Raw genomic sequence first — 18,299 nt, forward strand, 5'->3', positions numbered from 1 at the left:
GGGCAACAGGGCGAGACTCCGTCTCAAAACAACAACAAAAATAAACATGAGAAGCTAGATGACTGTAGCTGGCTGATCACCTGCTTGGCAGCCACAGCTTTTACCTGTGTCTTGGGCTTGGGACTCATGGAGCAGAGTGGGTGTCGCCCACAGGACGCATGAATGCTTGGAGCTTACTGGATCCCTGCATCCCTCCCATCTGTGTTCAGCTCACATTCTTAGTATGTCTAACAGGTCTCATGAGTTGCTTTTTTTTTTTTTTTGAGACGGAGTCTTGCTCAGTTGCCCAGGCTGGAGTGCAGTGGCGCGATCTCAGCTCACTGCAACCTCCGCCTCCCGGGTTCAACTGATTCTCCTGCCTCAGCCTTCCGAGTAGCTGGGATTACCGGCGGGTGCCACCACGCCTGGCTAATTTTTTGTATTTTTAGTAGAGACAAGATTTCACCGTGTTCGCCAGGATGGTCTCGATCTCCTGACCTCATGATCCGCCTGCCTCAGCCTCCCAAAGTGCTGGGATTACAGGTGTGAGCCACCACGCCCGGCTTGAGTTGCTTCTTAATATCCATCCTTCATTTCACCTGTCTGTGTCCTTATTTATAGGGCTCTTGTTCCCTATATAACAGAATTGAAAATTCCCTTTAAAAAAATACAGCAAATGCACACAGAGGATCAGAGGATGGAGGGGAGAATTTGATGAGATAACCAGGGAAGTATTTAGTACAAAGCCTGGCACAGAGTCCATGTGCAGTACATGTTAATTATTGTGATTATCTAAGGAAAAATAAAGAGACACAGAGAAAAGCAAAAAGGTTGCCTTAGGCCAGGTGCGGTGGCTCACACCTGTAATCCCAGCACTTTGGGAGGCCGAGGCAGGCAGATCACCTGAAGTCATGAGTTCGAGACCAGCCTGGCCAACATGGTGAAACCTTGTCTCTACAAAAAAAAAAAGACAAAAATTAGCTGGGCATGGTGGCACGCGCCTGTAATCCCAGCTACTCAGGAGGCTGAGACACAAGGATCACTTGAACCCAGGAGGCGGAGGTGGCAGCGAGCCGAGATCACACCACTGCACTCCAGCCTGGGTGACAGGGCGACACTCTGTCTCAAAAAAAAAAAAATAAAGGCCAGGTGCGGTGGCTCACGCCTGTAATCCCAGAACTTTGGGAGGCCGAGGCAGGCAGATCACCTGAGGTGAGGGGTTCGAGACCAGCCTGGCAAACATGATTTAGTAGAAACCCCGTCTCTACTAAAAATACAAAAATTAGCTGGGCGTGGTGGCAGGCACCTGTAATCCCAGCTACTCGGGAGGCTCAGGCAGGAGAATCGCTTGAACCCGGGAGGCGGAGGTTGCAGTGAGCCGAGATCACACCATTGTACGCTAGCCTGGGGGGACAAGAGCGAGACTTCGTCTCAAAAATAAATAAATAAATAAACAAATAGGCTGGGCGCAGTGGCTCACGCCTGTAATCCCAACACTTTGGGAGGCCAGGCGGGCGGATCACGAGGTCAGGAGATCGAGACCATCCTGGCTAACACGGTGAAACCCTGTCTCTACTAAAAATACAAAATATTAGCCAGCATGGTGGCAGACGCCTGTAGTCCCAGCTACTCGGGAGGCTGAGGCAGGAGAATGGCGTGAACCCGGGAGGCGGAGCTTGCAGTGAGCCGAGATCGCGCCACTGCACTCTAGCCTGGGCAACAGAGCGAGACTCCATCTCAAAAGTAAAATAAAATATAATAAAATAAAATAAATAAAATACAAACACTCCCTTAGTCCAGGGCAGGGACCAGATACAGAGATACCACTCTAAAGGCAGACATTGGTGTTGGGGTTTGGTGAGTTGGATGGCGAGTGAACAGATGGCTAGTGGGAAGGGAAAGAGAAGAGGAAAGGGTTCTCCATCCAGTACCTGGTCCCCAAGTTAATGAGTGGAGGATCCCAGCCTGCCCCACCAGGAGGGAATACATTTGCATAAGGTCCCTCATCTGCATGGCATCCCAGGGAATTTGCATAGAGATGGCAGCCTGGGGCCACATCAGTATGACCCCTCCTCCCAAGGGTTGAAACTCCAGCCTACATTACAAAGGCCTAGGGCAATAGGAAAGTGGGAGGGGTGAACCTCAGGATCTGGGGCTCCAGGAAGTAAAGAGAAGTTGGTAGTAAACTACCCTTGCTCTTTAACCTTCTGTGGTTCCCAGAGCATGAGCCGCCCTTCAGCTGGCATTCTGGACCTTCTAAGATACTGACCCTCACATCCCCTGCTCCCGCTGTCACCACCCTCCTACCTGGAATGCCCTTCCCCATATCCCGTGCTGTGACAAAGCTTGCCTATTCTTCAAAGCCTGGACATCCTGAAGAATTCTGAAAGCTTTCACCACCAGCCCCTCCTTGCCCTGCCCTTGGAAATTTACAAAGCTCTGTGCATCTCCCAGACATGTACAGATTTTTTGGGGTATATAGTTTATTAGTAAGGTTATATTTGATTGCAAATGACTATATATATATATATATATATATATATATATATATATATATATACACACACACACACACACACACACACACACACACATAGTCTCATACATATATATATATATATAGTCTATACATATATATATAGTCTCATATATATATATATGTATACCAGGAGTCATGTCTCATGCTTGTAATCCCAGCAGTTTGGGAGGCCAAGGCAGGAAAATTGCTTGAGCCTAGGAGTTCAAGACCAGCCTGAGCAACCTAGTGAGAGCCTGTCTCTACAAAAAAGTCAAAAGATGAGTCTGGCAGGCCGAGCACGGTGGCTCACGACTGTAATCCCAGCACTTTGGGAGGCAGAGGAGGGCAGACCACTTTAGGTCAGGAGTTCAAGACCAGCCTGGTAATATTGTGAAACCCCGTCTCTAATAAAACTGCGAACATAGCCAGGCGTCGTGGCCCAAACCTGTAGTCCCAGCTACTTGGGAGGCTGAGGCAGGAGAATCACTTGAACCCAGGGGGCAGAGGTTGCAGTGAGCCAAAATCACACCACTGCATTCCAGCCTGGGCAACAGACTGACACTCCGTATCAGAAAAAAAAAAAAAAAAAAAAAGATTGGCCGGGTGCGGTGGCTCACGCCTGTAATCCCAGCACTTTGGGAGTCCGAGGCGGGCAGATCACAAGGTCAGGAGATTGAGACCATCCTGGCTAACAAGGTGAAACCCCATCTCTACTAAAAATACAAGAAATTAGCTGGGCATGGTGGCGGGCGCCTGTAGTCCCAGCTACTCGGGAGGCTGAGGCAGGAGAACGGCGTGAACCCAGGAGGCAGAGCTTGCAGTGAGCCAAGATCGCTCCACTGCACTCCAGCCTGGGCAACAGAGCAAGACTCCGTTTCAAAAAAAAAAAAAAAGATTATTCTGGCACAGTGGCGAATGCCTATAGTCCCAGCCACTTGGGAGGCTGAAGTGGGAGGATTGCTTGAGCCTGAGAGGTGGAAGCTTCAATGAGCCATGATTGTACCACTGCACTCCAGTCTGGCCAACAGAGCATGACCCTGTCTCAGAATAAGAGCCGGGTATGGTGGCTCACGTTTGTGATTCCAGCACTCTGGGAGGCCGAGGCAGGCAAATTGCTTGAGCCCAAGAGTTCAAGACCAGCCTCGGCAACAACCCAAAAACCCATCTCTACAAAAAAATAGAAAAATTAGCCAAGCATAGTGGCACATGCCTGTAGTCCCAGCTACTCGGGAAGTTGACATGGAAGGATCCCGAGCCAGGGAGGTCATGGCTGCAGTGAGCCATGGTAATGTCACCACACTCCAGCCTGAGCGACAGAGTGAGACCCTGTCTTAATTAAAAAAAAAAAAAAAAGACTGAGGGGAGGAAGTGGTTAGGGGAGCTGCTGCTGCTGCTAAAAGAAAGGAAAGGTTGCCAGGCAGGTAAAATACTTGGCATCAGCTCCATAGCTCCGTCAGGAAGCCTTTGCCCCTACCTATGCCCCTACCTTCTAGTGGTTATGGCTCTTCAGTGAAGTGCCACCTCTGGGACTCCTTGACACTAAAAGTCAACTCCCCAGGCGGGCGTGGAACCCACCCAGTCATTTGTCACCAAACTTGGTGCTCAGCCTCATGCTTGTGACCCAAGGGTGTGAAACTCCAGCCTACACCTCTGGGGCATTTTTTTCTTTCTTTTTTTTTTTTTCCTTTTTTTTTTGGCAGAGCCTTGCTGTCACCCAGGCTGGAGTGCAGTGGCACAATCTTGGCTCACTGCAACCTCCACCTCCCGGGTTCAAGCGATTCTCCGGCTTCAGTCTCCCAAGTAGCTGGGATTATAGGCACCCGCCACCACATCCTGCTAATTTTTGTATTTTCAGTAGAGACAGGGTTTCACCACGTAGGCCAAGCTGGTCTCAAACTCCTGACCTCAGGTGATCCATCTGTCTCGGCCTCCCAAAGTACTGGGATTACAGGCTTGAGCCACCATGGCCAGCCTCCTGGGGCTTTCTTCCTGGGCTCATCCCTGCTCACAAAGAACAGCCAGGAGAGAGCTAAGCCCACTCATTCGTAGGCCAGGAGAAAGGAGGTGCTAGAGGCCTTCCTAGAAGAAGACTTCCTGGGGACTGGTTCTTTTGTTCAATGGATAAACGGGGGTCCCAGGATTTTGCAAAGCAAGTTAGTAGCAAGGCTGGCACTAAAACCCAGAGGTCCTGGTCCACAAACCTGGCCTCAGATTGGGGAGAGAAGGTCAGAGAGATCTAAAGCACATTTATTGCCAGGCGCGATGGCTCACACCTGTAATCCCAGCACTTTGGGAGGCTGAGGTGAGAGGATCACTTGAGGGCAGGAGTTCAAGACCAGCCTGGGCAACAAAGCGAGAATCAAATTCTACAAAACATTTAAAAATGCACCGAGCAGCCGGGCACAGTGGCTCACGCCTGTAATCCCAGCACTTTGGGAGGCCGAGGCAGGTGGAGCACGAGGTCAGGAGATCGAGACCATCCTGGCTAAGACCATGAAACCTCGTCTCTACTAAAAATACAAAAAATCAGCTGGGCGTGGTGGCAGGCACCTGTAGTCCCAGCTACTCGAGAGGCTGAGGCAGGAGAATGGCATGAACCTGGGAGGCGGAGCTTGCACTGAGCCAAGATCGCGCCACTGCACTCCAGCCTGGGCGACAGAGCAGAGACTGTCTCAAAAAAAAAAAATGCACCGAGCATAGTGGCACATGCCTGTAGTCCCAGCTACTCAGGAGGCTGAGGCAGAGGATCCCTTGGGCTGGGAAGTTTGAGGTTAGAGGGAGCCAAGATCTGCACTCCAACCTGGGCGACAAAGCACAACCCTGCCTCAAAATTAAATACATAAATAAATTAAGCACATTTATTTATTTTACTGTTTTATTTTATTATTATATATATTTTAAGAGACGGGGCTCTACCATGTTGCCAGGCGTGTCTTGAACCCCTAAATTCAAGTGATCTGCCAGCCTTGGCCTCCCAAAGTGCTGGGATTGCAGACATGAGCCACTGCGCAAGGCCTATTTGTGTATTTATTTATTTTAGAGACAAAATCTCTCTGTCTCCCAGGCTGGAGTGCAGTGGCTCAATCACAGCTCACTGCAGCCTCAACCTCCCTGGGCTCAGGTGATCCTCCCACCTCGGCCTCCCGAGTAGCTGTAGCTGCTATGCATTTATTATGTGTGCGCCTATTTGTCCAGCCATCCTCACACCCAGTTTGTGCCAAGCCTGAGACACAAGCTATCTGGAGCTCACATGGCATGGAGGTTAAAAGCACAGACTGGCCGGGTGCAGTAGCTCACCCCTGTAATCCCAGCACTTTGGGAGGCTAATGCAGGCAGATCACAAGGTCAGGAGTTCGAGACCAGCCTGACCAACATGGTGAAAGCCCGTCACTACTAAAAATACAAAAATTAGCCGGGCGTGGTGGTGCGTGCCTGTAATCCCAGCTACTCAGGAGGCTGAGGCAGGAGAATCACTCAAACCTGGGGGGCGGAGGTTGCAGCGAGCCGAGATTGATTGCGCCACTGCACTCCAGCCTTGGCAACAGAGCCAGACTCCGTCTCAAAAACAAAAAGAGCACAGACCATCCGGGCCCAAAAGAAGCACCCGGCCTGCTATGTGTCTTTGCTGGGTGGCTTGGGGCAAACAACCACCCTGTGCCTCAGTTTACTTTTCAGTGAAATGGGGATCACCATGGTGTCCCCTTCATGGGATCCCTGTGAGGAACTAACTAAGAGAAATAAGGTGCTTAGAAGAGTCAGCTCTGGCTCTGCCATTTTGTTTATTTTTATTTATTTTTAATTTCTATTTTATTTTATGTTTTTCAGACTGAGTCTCACTCTGTTGCCCAGGCTGGAGTGCAGTGGTGCGATCTCGGCTCACTGCAACCTCCAACTCCCGGGTTCAAGCGATTCTCCTGCCTCAGCCTCCCAAGTAGAGACAGGGTTTCACCATGTCGGCCAGGCTGGTCTCGAACTCCTGAACTCAAGTGATCCACCCGCCTCAGCCTCCCAAAGTGCTGGGATTACAGGCGTCAGCCAGGGCGCCCCGCCCTGGCTCTGCCATTTTGTAACTCAGTGAGTCACTTCATCTCTCTGCTTCAGTTTCCCTATCGCCCATGGCGCTGCATGGCTTACATGAGATAATATTCGCAGTGCACTTAGATCAGTGCCTGGCACACGGTAAGTGCTGACTACATGTATTAACAGTATCGTAAGTGCCGGGCGCGGTGGCTCACACCTGCAATCCCAGCATTTTGGGAGGCTGAAGCGGGTGGATCAGGAGGTCAGGAGTTTGAGACCAGCCTGACCAACATGGTGAAACCCCGTCTCTACTAAAAATACAAAAATTAGCCGGGCGTGGTGGCGCGCGCCTGTAATCCCAGCTACTCAGGAGGCTGACTCAGGAGAATCGCTTGAACCCAGGAGGCAGAGGTTGCAGTGAGCCGAGATCGCGCCACTGCCCTCCAGCCTGGGCGACAGAGCGAGACTCCGTCTCAAAGAAAAAAAAAAAAAAAGGATCATAACTAAGACTCGAATGCGGAGGGATAACAGCCTCTGCTACTTGAAACCTAGTCCTTCTGGGGAGGAAAGCCCAGGTGTGTGGCAGGTGGAAGGGAGGGCGAGCCTAGGTGGTCCTCTTGCTAGGGCAAGAAGCCCCCAAGCACCTGCCCCCAGCTGAGCAGCTCCGCGCCTCCTGGCCCTGGACGAACTTGGGCCCAGACTGGCGCTCCGTGGCACCCCCTCCCCCGGCCTCCCGCTTCGCGCCCTCATCCCGCCCCCCGGCGCGGCCTCACCAGCTCCCCCTGGGCAGCCCAAAGAATGCGAAGAGGTAGGTGGGGGTAGGGAGGAGGGCGAGCCGCTGGGAGAGACAAAGGGCCCGAGTCTGAGCGAGAGACACAAAGACGCGAGGAGGCTGGGGAGATAGGGGAAGTGGGACAAGGACGCGGGGAGTGACCAGGTCCGGAGGCCGGACTGGAGCCCAGCCCCACCCAGCCCGGCCGGGCCAGCGCAGCGCGGGGGCCGGTCTCTGCTGCCCCCTGGCGGGTGGCTGCGGTGAGAAGGCGGCGCGGAGCAGGTGTTGGGAGGGGAGGACCAGGGCGCGCAGGGAGGTAGGGAGGGAAGGAAGCAGAGAACAGAGCAGGGACAGAGAGACAGCGAGAGAGACTCGCACGCAGAGACAAGAGACGCCGAGAGGGAGACACAGAGAAAGAGACAGGGACAGAGAGACACAGATAGAGACAGAGAGAGACACACGGAGAGACAGAGACAGAGAAGCACAGAGATAGAGAGGCACAGAGATAGAGACAGAGAAACACAGAGACAGAGAGGCACACAGAGACAGAGAGGCACAGAGACAGGCCGATAGAGACAGAGATACACAGAAATAGAGACAGAGACAGAGAGGCACACAGATAGAGACAGAGAGACACAGAGACAGAGTCAAAGGATGGAAAGAGACATGGGGACCAAGTGACCCAGAAACAGTGACAGACAGGCCGGGCTTGGTGGCTCACGCCTGTAATCCCAGCATCTTGGGAGGCCGAGCCGGGAGGATCGCTTGAGGCCAGCCTCAGCAACATAGTGAGACCCCGCCGCCCCCCCGCCCCGTCTCTTTTATTGAAATAAAGAAACAGTGACTGACAAAGGAAGACCAGAAACAGAGCGACACCGAAGCATGAGGACGGAAAGACCCAGAGAGGCAGAAATACAGGGACAGAGAGGAAGACCCAAAGAGAGTGAGAGAGACACAAAGACACGTAAGAGAGACAGAGAAATCCAGAAAGAAACGAGTGCAGCGACACCTAGAGTTCGGGGCAGAGATTAGAAACGCACGAGGGTACGAGAAACAGGCTCAGGGCGATGGGCTCGACCTGCGGGGAGGTCGCACAACCGGGACGTGCTGGGGGCAGAACCGTAAAGCCCCACGTGCCTCAGGCAACTGTGATGAGAGGACCCGGGCAGGCAGGAAAGGGCAGGATTCGAACTGTGGGTGGGACAGAGGCCAGGACGGACTGAGCTAAGAGACCGAGAGAACTCCGGCTAGGGCGAGGGGCGGGGCTGGTGGAGGCGGGGCTGGTGGGGGCGGAGTCGGCCGGAAGGGCCGAAAGGGGCGTGGCAAGACCTTGGCGAGGCGGCCGGTAGGCAGGGGGCGGGGCGTGGGAACTACTCGGGAGCAGAGGGGGCGTGGCTAGACCTTAGGGGGCGTGGTTTAACGCCGGGAGCGAAGGAGACAGAATTCTTTGGCAGGGGCGACCTTAGAATCCTGGGGAGGAGCGAGAATGGAATCCCGGGGAGGAACAGGGGTGGAATCCGGGGGGCGGGGTCAGAACGCCAGGAGGGGGCGGGGCCGGAGCCAGGGTCGGCTTGACTCGGGGGAGCAGCGGGTGGATCCTGTGACGTCAGCGGGTTCGAACCGCCGGAGCTGAGCGAGAGGCCGGGGGTGCCGAGCCGGGCGGGGAGAGCTGGGCCGGGAGAGCAGAACAGGGAGGCTAGAGCGCAGCGGGAACCGGCCCGGAGCCGGAGCCGGAGCCCCACAGGCACCTACTAAACCGCCCAGCCGATCGGCCCCCACAGAGTGGCCCGCGGGCCTCCGGCCGGGCCCAGTCCCCTCCCGGGCCCTCCATGGCCCGGGCCGCTGCCCTCCTGCCGTCGAGATCGCCGCCGACGCCGCTGCTGTGGCCGCTGCTGCTGCTGCTGCTCCTGGAAACCGGTGAGACGAGCGGACGGCCCCCTGCCCTCGCGCGGACCCCCTCCAACCTTACCTTCCGAGCTGGGGAAGCCGAGCACCTTCCCCGCCCACCCCCGGCTCCCCGAGCCCCCTCTCGCGTGCCCCCTTCCTGGCTGGCCCCACAGACTCCGACCCCCTACACGTCCGATTCTCTCGAGGAGACTCTGACCCCTCCTTTCTGCATCTCTCTCACCACCACCCCCATCCTTCTTAATCCAATTGCCCATCCTACGCCTGCTTGTCTGTCCCCCTCCCCATTTCTCGGATTCCCGCGCCGAAAGGGTTAAATCCCAGGAAGGCCTGGTGCCCCCTCCCCACCCCGCGCCGAGTAGTTCACCCGGATCTGGGTCTCTGTCTCCTCTACCCCTCTCAGGAATGTGGGGAATGTTCCCCCCACCTACCGCAGTAAGGTCTCGAGGAAGAGGCGAGACCACCTCCCTCCCCTATTTTTCCTTCTTCCCGGCTTGGGCGTCTGAGGCCCGGAGAGAACTGAGGACAAGCGGACCTGATTCGGGTCCCTTGGAGGGCTAAGGATAAGAGTTCTGGCGACTTAGGGGGAAGGGCCTGAGCTCGGAGCTCCAACCCCGAACCTCAGGGAGTTGGGGGTTCTGACTCCGTGGACTCCAGAAAAATTAGGGGCCGGGGGCTCCGTCTTCAGGGTCCCTGGTAGAATGGAGGCTAGGCGCTAAGTCTAACTGGGATCTAGGTAAAACTGGGGGCGAGAGAGGATCAAACTTGTAGCTTCTGGATTTAATTGTGGGCAGGGGGCTTCGTTTTCAGGGTTCCCGGCAGAACCGGGGGACAGGAGACTCGATCTCGTGGGCTTCAGACTTAATTGTAGGCAGAGGAACGTCTTCTGAGATCCAAACAGAAGTGCGAGCAGCGGGCCCCGTCTCTTGGGCTCCAGATATGATCAAGGGTCGAAGGCTCTGTCTTGAGGCTGGAGTCTCAGTCGCCTGAGTCCCAGATAGAACGGGAGGCCCCGAGTCCCAGAGGCTGGGAGACTCCTCCCTTTCCCTATGAATGGTCGGGGGCGACGGAGACGTCGCCGGGGAAGTTTTCCTGGTTTCACTCTCGCCGAGCCAGGGAGGGGCGGGGCGGGCGCTCCTGGCTCCGGGTTCCGGACTCCCCGGTTTCGGGACCTTATCTATCCTCTGGTAGCGCCTTTGTCCTCAGAGCCATAGCAGGAGGTGGACGAGTGGAGCCGCCGCCCTTATCCCCCGTCCCTCCCATTGCTATGCCTTGGACCCCCTGGCGTCCTTCCATCCACCCCACTAGGGGAGGAGAGCGGCCCCCCTGGGGAGGGAGGGGCTGGGAGGGAACCCTTGAAAGAGGCGCTGGCCCCGCCCCTTGCAGGTGACCCGGTTGTGTATTCCCAGCGACAAACTCTGGGATGCTAGAGTTTCCCGAGGGTTTGCGCAGAAGAGAGCTCAGGGGGATCTTGGGGGAACCCCGGCCACCTCTCTGGCCTCATTTCCCCCAGGATGGCTCTCACTGGCCTCCCAGCTTTGACCCAGAGCTGGGAACTCCGCTTCCATCCCCTGCCTCTCCCTTCAGGCAGAAATAGGCAGATGAGATCAGAACTGGCACCTCTGGGTGAATTCTCCGAACCCACCAGACCCTGAGCCTACTGTTAGCTTGGTGCATGATCTCACCGAAGGCTCCAGCTTGCCCTGGGAAACAGGTCCTGTTTCTGTTTCCATCTTAGAGATGAGGAAACAGGCTCAGCAAAGGCAAGCAGCCTTCTCAAGGTCTCACAGCAGGTCCCGGGGAAGCCGGGCTCCGGTTCTTCAGAGCCCCGCACCGGGTGGGCTCCAGGAAGTGCCTCTGAGTTTCCATTTCCTCCCTCGTAAAAAAACTGAGATAACAATCCTTTCCCTGCGGACCATCCGGAAGGCTCCCAGGCCCCACTGATTCCCTGTGAAACCTCTTAGCCCCTGGAGAAGGAGCTGTCGGCCCCTTTCTTGACCACCCCCACCCCAATCCTTCGCCTCTGCTGTCCACTGGCTGGCCGGCTGGCATGTGCTCGCTCTCCCTCTCTCTCTCTCTCCCCTCCCCCTCCCTGTTTTCCTCCTTCCCTCACTTTCTTTCCCCCTCTTCATCTCTCTTCGTTTCTCACCCTTTCTCTCTCCATCCCTCTCCAAGCTCTTTCTCTCTTCTCCTCTCCCCATCTCTCTCTCTCCTCTCCGTCTTTCTCTGTATACCTGTCTAGCTCCACTGCCTCCCCCGCTTGGCCTCCTCGGGGAATGCGGGTGCACCACCTGGGCCCCCAGCTGGGCCGGCTCCCCTCCCCCAGCTTTCTTCCCTGCCCATCCGTGTGTCCATGTCCGCCAGGCAGCCCCACGTAGTGGAGGGGGAGGGGAGCAGAGGGACGGCAGCCTGGCTGTCTCCTCTCATTAGGGAAGGGGGACTGGGCAGAGGAGAAGTTGGGGGGTGGGTATATAGAGAGGCTGGAGCTACAAGGATGGGTACAGAGGCCAATAGAGGGAAGCGGTCAGACACAGATTTAGGAATGGGGTCAGAGACACGTGTAGGAATGGAATCAGAGGATAGAAGGGGAGTGAAATGCCGGCACAGGGTCGGGGGAGTGAAATACCGACACAGGGATGAGGCTGAAAGACACTGGAATGGGACGGAGGAGGGTGGGGGAAGGGAGCTAGACATAGATACCAGATGAAGGCAGGGACAGGAAAAGGAAAGGGGTTTGGTGACAGGCAGGGAGCCCCAAAGACTCCAGCTGTGGGACAGCAGAGGTGCCGTGACCCACGGAGGTCAGGGTACAGGGGGCCTCAAGGCCAGCGACATGTGGGGGCCACAGGGAGTGATGAACACAGAAGGGACAGGGAGCTGGGCACATGGGCCAGCTCCCCCGCCCCTGCCTGGGACGCTGTTACATTTTTAATGTCCCAGCAGTGCTGACAAATGGAGCAGGAAGGGGAGGAGAAGAGGGGACCCAGCAAGATGGGCCAGGCTGTGAGAAGGTGTGTCAGAAATATGGGGAGACAGGGCACTGGAGACCCAGGAGGCAGGGAGACTCCACAGTCAGAGACAGAAACAGAGACGTAGACCAGAAGGCTTGTGAGAAGAGAACCCCAGGAATCAAGGCAGAGAGCCAGGTTCCAGACACAGGGAGACCCAGACGGAGAAAGAGACCGGAGATGTCAGACATACAGAGGAAAGAGGAAGAGAGTGACTAACGGGGACAGGGTATCTTCTCAGGCTAATGAAAATGTTCTATAATTGCTCGGGTGATGGATGGCTAACTCTGAATATACAAAAGCCACTGAACTGTACACTTTAAATGGGTAGATTGTATGGTATGGGAATAATGTCTCAATAAAGCTGTTACAAAGAGACAGAGAATATAAGAGGCACAGAGCAGAGACCAGAGACTCTGGGGGACACAGATAAGAGTGACAGAGGCCAGGCACATTGGCTCATACCAGTAATTCCAGCACTTTGGGAGGCTGACGCAGGAGAATCGTTTGAACCGAGTTCAAGGCTGCAGTGAGCCCTGATTGCACTACTGCACTCCAGCCTGGGCCACAGAGCAAGACCCTGTCTCAAAAGAGAAAAGAGTAACAGAGACCCCAAGAGAGACCCTGGGAATTGGAGACACAGAGGGACAGGGACCCTAAGAACTAGACACAGAGAGAGATAGAAGAGGCCCCGGAAGACACAGATAAGAGACGCTAAGAGACAGCAGGGATACCATTAAAAGACTTTCAAGAAGCCAGGCATGGTGACTCATGCCTATAATCCTAGCATTCTGGGAGGTCCAGGCAGGTGTATCACTTGAGCTCAGGAGTTCGAGACCAGCCTGGGCAACACGGCGAAACCCTGTCTCTGCAAAAAATTTAAAAATTAGCCAAAGGTGGTGGTGTGTGCCTATAGTCCCAGCTACTTGGAAGGCTGAAGTGGGAGGATCACATGAGCCAGGAAGGTTGAGGCTGCAGTGAGCTGAGATCACACCACAGTACTCCACCCTGGGCAACAAAGCAAGATCCTATCTCAAAAAAACAAAACAAAACACACGGATTAGAGGAGGCCAGGGGGCAGGTGCAGAAATCCAGGCACAGACAGACAGCCCTACATCCTGGCTGCTGCAGCCGCTGCTCACTCCCTGAACCAGCTCCTGGATTTCCGCTGTGGGGGTTGGGCACTGTGATTAATACAATTAATTAACTGACAAGGTGACTGAGGCAGCAGCTGAGGCCAGTACTCAAAGCCTCTGGCCTTCAAGGGCCTTCTCTAGTCCCGACGTGCCTTGCCATGGGAGGCTGGGTCGCTGTGCTTTATAGATCTGCGGGGGAAGCCAGGCCCTGGGGAGCCAGCCAGGCAGGAGTCCAGGAGCCCAGCTCCTCCTCCCCTAGACCCAGGTGTCCAGCTTCAGGCCCCGCCTCCCTCAGACCCAGAAGCCCAGGCCCCAGCCTCTCCTCCCTCAGACCCAGGAGTCCAGGCCCCAGCCCTCTTCCCTCAGACCCAGGAGTCCAGGCCCCCATCCCTAATCCCTCAGACCTGGGAGTTCAGGCCCCCATCCCTGCTCTCTCAGACCCAGGAGTCCAGGCCACCAGTGCTTCCTCCCTCAGACCCAGGAGTCCAGGCCCCCATCCTTCCCCTCTCAGACCCAGGAGTCCAGGCCCTTAGTCCCTCCTCCCTCAGACCCAGGGGTCCAGCCTCAGTCCCCTGCTCCCTCAGACCCAGGAGCCCAGGCCCCCTGCTCTTCCTCCCTCAAACCTGGGAGTCTAGGCCTCCAGCTCCTCCTCCCTCAGACCCAGGAATCCAGGCCCCCAGCCCCCTCCTTTCTCAGACCCAGGAGTCCAAGCCCCCAACCTCTCCTCCAGGGTTCCATAGGTCACTCTGCACCCTCCTCGCTGCCTTGGTCTACCCATCCCTGGATCTCGGGGTCTCAAGCTGTGTCTGTCCCCATTGTTCTCCCATGGGCTCACACTACACCCTGGGCAGCCTCCACTCTGCCACCACAGGAAGCCTGCAGGTGCAGTCCACAGGGAGAGGAAGTGTGTCTGGGGACCCAGCTCACACTTCATGAAGCTGTCACCAGTCTGGCTTGCCCAGTGACACTGAGGGAGGCTGGTGTTCCCATGGCCACAGTCCCCTGGCTATGGTGCTGGCCATGTCCTGGCCAAGTTCATGGCACAGCCCCTGCCTAGCAGTGTGCTGGATGATGGGGGCTCACTCCAGGCTGACCAACCTCCTGGCTGTATCTCCCTTGCCTCCACCTGACATGCAGAGCGTCTGGGCAGCGGCCCTCACCCCTGTCCCCTTTACCTCCGCAGCCCTGTCAGCCTCCAAGTCCCAACCCTCCCAGCTTCTCCCTGTCACCCCCACCGCTGGTCCTGCTTTCCCATTCCAAGTTCTGAGTGTGTTTCCAATCTCGCCATCCTCCGTCCCCACAGCCCCGACCCTGATCCCGGCGCCTCCCCCCGAGACCCCTGCCCCACTGAGGGCTCTTTCTTTTTTCTTTTTTTTCTTTTTTTGAGACAAGAGTCTCACTCTGTTGCCCAAGCTGGCAATAGTGTCTCACTCTCTCACTCTGTCTTCCAAGCTGGTACAGTGGTGTGATCTTGGCTCACTGCAACCTCCGCCTCCCAGGTTCAAGCAATTCTTGTGCCTCAGCCTCCCAAGTAGTGGGGATTACAGGCAGGTGCCACCATGCCCAGCTAATTTTTGTATTTTTAGTAGAGACGGGCTCTCACCGTGTTGCCCAGGCTGGTCTCCTGAGCTCAGGTGAGCCACTGCACCCAGCCTGTGAGGGTTTTTTCTTTCTCTTTTTGTTTTTTTTGTTTTTTTTTTGAGACATGGTAGCCACCACCTGTAATCCCAGCTACTCAGGAGGCTGAGGCAGGAGCCCGAGACAGAGCAAGACTCCGTCTCAAAAAAAAAAAAAAACAGAAAAGACTTGGGCTTGTTTCCTGAGGGCTCTGTGCAGAGGAGGGCGTGTTCTGCACTTTCTAGCAGGATCCTTCTAGCTGTGCATAGGAACAAACCACAAGGACAACTGCAGTCCTCCAGGTGGGAAGTGGCAGTGGATTAGACCAGGGCAGGGACTGGGGAGGCGTCAGAGGTGGTCTAACTAGATAAATGTCAAAGAAGGAGGTGACAGGGTTTCCTGATAGATTGCTTATGAGGTGAGAGAGAAAGAGGTGAAAATGCCTTAAAAATGGACTGTAGGCAGGACGCGGTGGCTCACGCCTGTAATCCAAGCACTTTGGGAGGCCAAGGCAAGAGGATCGCTTTAGTTCAGGAGTTTGAGAACAGCCTAGGCAACAAACAGTGAGACCCCTTCTCTACAAAAAAAAATTTTTTTTAATTAGTCAAGTATGGTGGTGCCCGCCTGTAGTCCCAACTACTGAGAAGGCTGAGGTGGTAGGATTGCTTGAACCCAAGAGGTTGAGGCTGCGGCAAGCTGGGATCCTGCACTCCACCCTGAGCAACGGAGTGAGATCCTATCCCAGAAAAAAAAAAAAGGAATGTTAACCCCACAGGGCCTGAACTATCCTATTCATTCATTTGGAATTAGAAATTCAGAATGGGGAACTTACAGCAATGGGATTTTTTTTTTCAGACGGAGTCTCCCTCTGTCCCCCCAGCTGGAGTGCAGTGGCGCGATCTCAGCTCACTGCAAGCTCTGCCTCCCAGATTCACGCCATTCTCCTGCCTCAGCCTCCCGAGTAGCTGGGACTACAGGGGCCTGCCACCACGCCCAGCTAATTTTTATATTTTTAATAGAGACGTGGTTTCACCGTGTTAGCCAGGATGGTCTCAATCTCCTGACCTCGTGATCTGCCTGCCTTGGCCTCCCAAAGTGCTGGGTTTACAGGCGTGAGCCACCACAGCTGGCCCTTTTTTTTTTTGAGATGGAGTCTCACTCTGTCCCCCAGGCTGGAGTGCAGTGCTGCAATCTCAGCTCACTACAACCTCCGCCTGCTAGGTTCAAGTGATTCTCCTGCCTCAGCCTCCTGAATAGCTGGGATTACGGGGGCCCGCCACCACGCCCGGCTAATTTTTGTATTTTTAGTAGAGACGGGGTTTCACCATGTTGGCCAGGCTGGTCTCAAACTCCTGACCTCGTGATCCGCCCTCCTCGGCCTCCCAAAGTGTTGGAATTACAGGCGTGAGCCATTGCGCCCAGGGATTTTAGAACCTCATTCATTCGTTATTCAGCAAGTACTGAGCATCTACTAGGTACCAATCTCTCTTGCAGATACTGAGGGTACAGGTTGTGAGCAAAACAGACAGAAGATCCCTGCCCTCGTGGCGCTGGCAGTCAGTTTCCAGGAGGATGTGATATATCTAGTGTGTGAGATGGTGAGAAGCACTATGCAGACAGAGAACGTAACAGGGCAAAAGGGCGGAAGAGCAGTCAACCAGGGAGGGGAGAGGAGGTGGCAGCTGAGGTGGAGTATCTCGGGGTAAAAGAACCCCCCGAGGAGTGTGCCCCACAAGAAGCTAAAAGTGGTGGGTTTGTTTGAGACCGAGTCCTCACTCTGTCACCCAGGCTGGAGTGCAGTGGCGCAATCTCAGCTCACTGCAACCTCCACCTCCTGAGTTCAAGCGACTCTCCCTAAAGTAGCTGGAATTACAGGCATGCAGCTAATTTTTGTATATTTAGTAGAGACAGGGTTTCACTGTGTCGGCCAGGCTGGTCTCGAACTCCTGGCCTCAAGTGATCCATCCACCTTGGTCTCCCAAAGTTCTGGGATTACAGGCTTGAGCCACCGCCCCATCCTAAAGTCGGTTTTTTTGTTTTAATCCTCCAAATCCAGTAGTGCTCAGATGCCATCCTAAATGGAGGATTGGAGGGGAGCCTCCCTTAGAAGGAAGATCTGGGCCCCTGGAAGCCACAGGACTGCTCCTTAAGTCAAGAACTCTGAATCTGGCCAGGTGCAGTGGCTTATGCCTATAATCCCAACACTTTGGGAGGCCGAGGCGGGTGGATCACTTGAGGTCAGGAGTCCGAGACTAGCCTGGCTGACATGGCGAAACCCCATCTCTACTAAAATTACAAAAATTAGCTGGGTATGGTGGTACATGCCTGTAATCCCAGCTACTTGGGAGGCTGAGACAGGAGAATCACTTGAGCTGGGGAGGCGGAGGCTGTAGTGAGCCCAGATTGCGCCACTGCACTCCAGCCCGGGCAACAGAGTGAGACTCCACCTCAAAAAAAATTTTTTTAAAAAGAACTCTGAGTTGCCGGGCGCGGTGGCTCACGCCTGTAATCCCAGCACTTTGGGAGTCCCAGGCGGGCGGATCACGAGGTCAGGAGATCGAGACCATCCTGGTTAACATGGTGAAACCCCATCTCTACTAAAAAAATTAGCCGGGCGTCGTGGCGGGCACCTGTAGTCCCAGCTACTCGGGAGGCTGAGGCAGGAGAATGGGGTGAACCCGGGAGGCGGAGGTTGCAGTGAGCCGAGATCGCGCTGCTGCACTCCAGCCTGGGTGACAGAGCAAGACTCCGTCTCAAAAAAAAAAAAAAGAACTCTGAGTCAGCCTGGCGCAGTGGCTCACACCTGTAATCTCAGCACTTTGGGAGGCCGAGGCGGGCAGATCACGAGGTCAGGAGATCGAGACCATCCTGGCTAACACGGTGAAACCCCGTCTCTACTAAAAATACAAAAAATTAGCAGAGCGTGGTGGCGGGCGCCTGTAGTCCCAGCTACTCGGGAGGCTGAGGCAGGAGAATGGCATGAACCTGGGAGGCGGAGGTTGCAGTGAGCCGAGATAGTGGCACTGCACTCCAGCCTGGGCGAAAGAGTGAGAATCTGTCTCAAAAAAAAAAGAAAAAAACTCTGAATCCCAGAGACCCAGGGACTTGGAGGAGGTGAAGGGTGTGGGGCTCCAGGGACCTGGGGCTCAGCTTTTCAGGTCTCCTCCTCCAGGAAGCTCTTCTTTCGTTCATCGTCCCTCCCTCCTTCAGACAGGTCAAGCCTCTTCAGGTTCCTCCCATACCACCCCTACTCCGTCTTCCAGGCATTCTTGGTGATAATTATTTGTGCAATATTTGTACCCCCTGCAATCTGGATGTCAACCCTGGAAAACAAGCACCTGATT

General features: G+C 55.0%; 1 protein-coding gene across 3 annotated transcripts in view, besides 6 other annotated features; it reads left to right on the forward strand.

Annotated features, from left to right (window-relative positions):
* Positions 7,254–7,653: a silencer, noted in NCBI's record as "silent region_10740". NCBI's record gives its function as "represses an Ori minimal core promoter by ATAC-STARR-seq in GM12878 lymphoblastoid cells {active_cell/tissue: GM12878}" and the evidence as "EXISTENCE:reporter gene assay evidence [ECO:0000049][PMID:35858748]".
* Positions 8,521–8,570: a silencer, noted in NCBI's record as "silent region_10741". NCBI's record gives its function as "represses an Ori minimal core promoter by ATAC-STARR-seq in GM12878 lymphoblastoid cells {active_cell/tissue: GM12878}" and the evidence as "EXISTENCE:reporter gene assay evidence [ECO:0000049][PMID:35858748]".
* Positions 8,651–8,730: a silencer, noted in NCBI's record as "silent region_10742". NCBI's record gives its function as "represses an Ori minimal core promoter by ATAC-STARR-seq in GM12878 lymphoblastoid cells {active_cell/tissue: GM12878}" and the evidence as "EXISTENCE:reporter gene assay evidence [ECO:0000049][PMID:35858748]".
* Positions 8,861–8,960: a silencer, noted in NCBI's record as "silent region_10743". NCBI's record gives its function as "represses an Ori minimal core promoter by ATAC-STARR-seq in GM12878 lymphoblastoid cells {active_cell/tissue: GM12878}" and the evidence as "EXISTENCE:reporter gene assay evidence [ECO:0000049][PMID:35858748]".
* NECTIN2 (nectin cell adhesion molecule 2) overlaps positions 8,890–18,299 on the forward strand; it is a 42,927-nt gene continuing 33,517 nt past the window's right edge. For all 3 annotated transcript variants that reach the window (NM_001042724.2, NM_002856.3, XM_047439169.1), the window contains exon 1: positions 8,890–9,206. In NM_001042724.2, coding sequence (NP_001036189.1) covers positions 9,119–9,206 — 88 coding nt within the window. In that variant the 5' untranslated portion in view covers positions 8,890–9,118. The remainder of the gene's footprint in view (positions 9,207–18,299) is intronic.
* Positions 10,600–11,582: an enhancer, noted in NCBI's record as "H3K27ac-H3K4me1 hESC enhancer chr19:45351264-45352246 (GRCh37/hg19 assembly coordinates)". NCBI's record gives its function as "activates a minimal SCP1, AML or CMV promoter by ChIP-STARR-seq in naive H9 embryonic stem cells {active_cell/tissue: H9 hESC(naive)}" and the evidence as "EXISTENCE:reporter gene assay evidence [ECO:0000049][PMID:30033119]".
* Positions 13,052–13,963: an enhancer, noted in NCBI's record as "H3K4me1 hESC enhancer chr19:45353716-45354627 (GRCh37/hg19 assembly coordinates)". NCBI's record gives its function as "activates a minimal SCP1, AML or CMV promoter by ChIP-STARR-seq in naive H9 embryonic stem cells {active_cell/tissue: H9 hESC(naive)}" and the evidence as "EXISTENCE:reporter gene assay evidence [ECO:0000049][PMID:30033119]".

This window comes from Homo sapiens, chromosome 19 (assembly GCF_000001405.40).
Source record: "Homo sapiens chromosome 19, GRCh38.p14 Primary Assembly".
Classification (NCBI taxonomy): domain Eukaryota; kingdom Metazoa; phylum Chordata; class Mammalia; order Primates; family Hominidae; genus Homo; species Homo sapiens.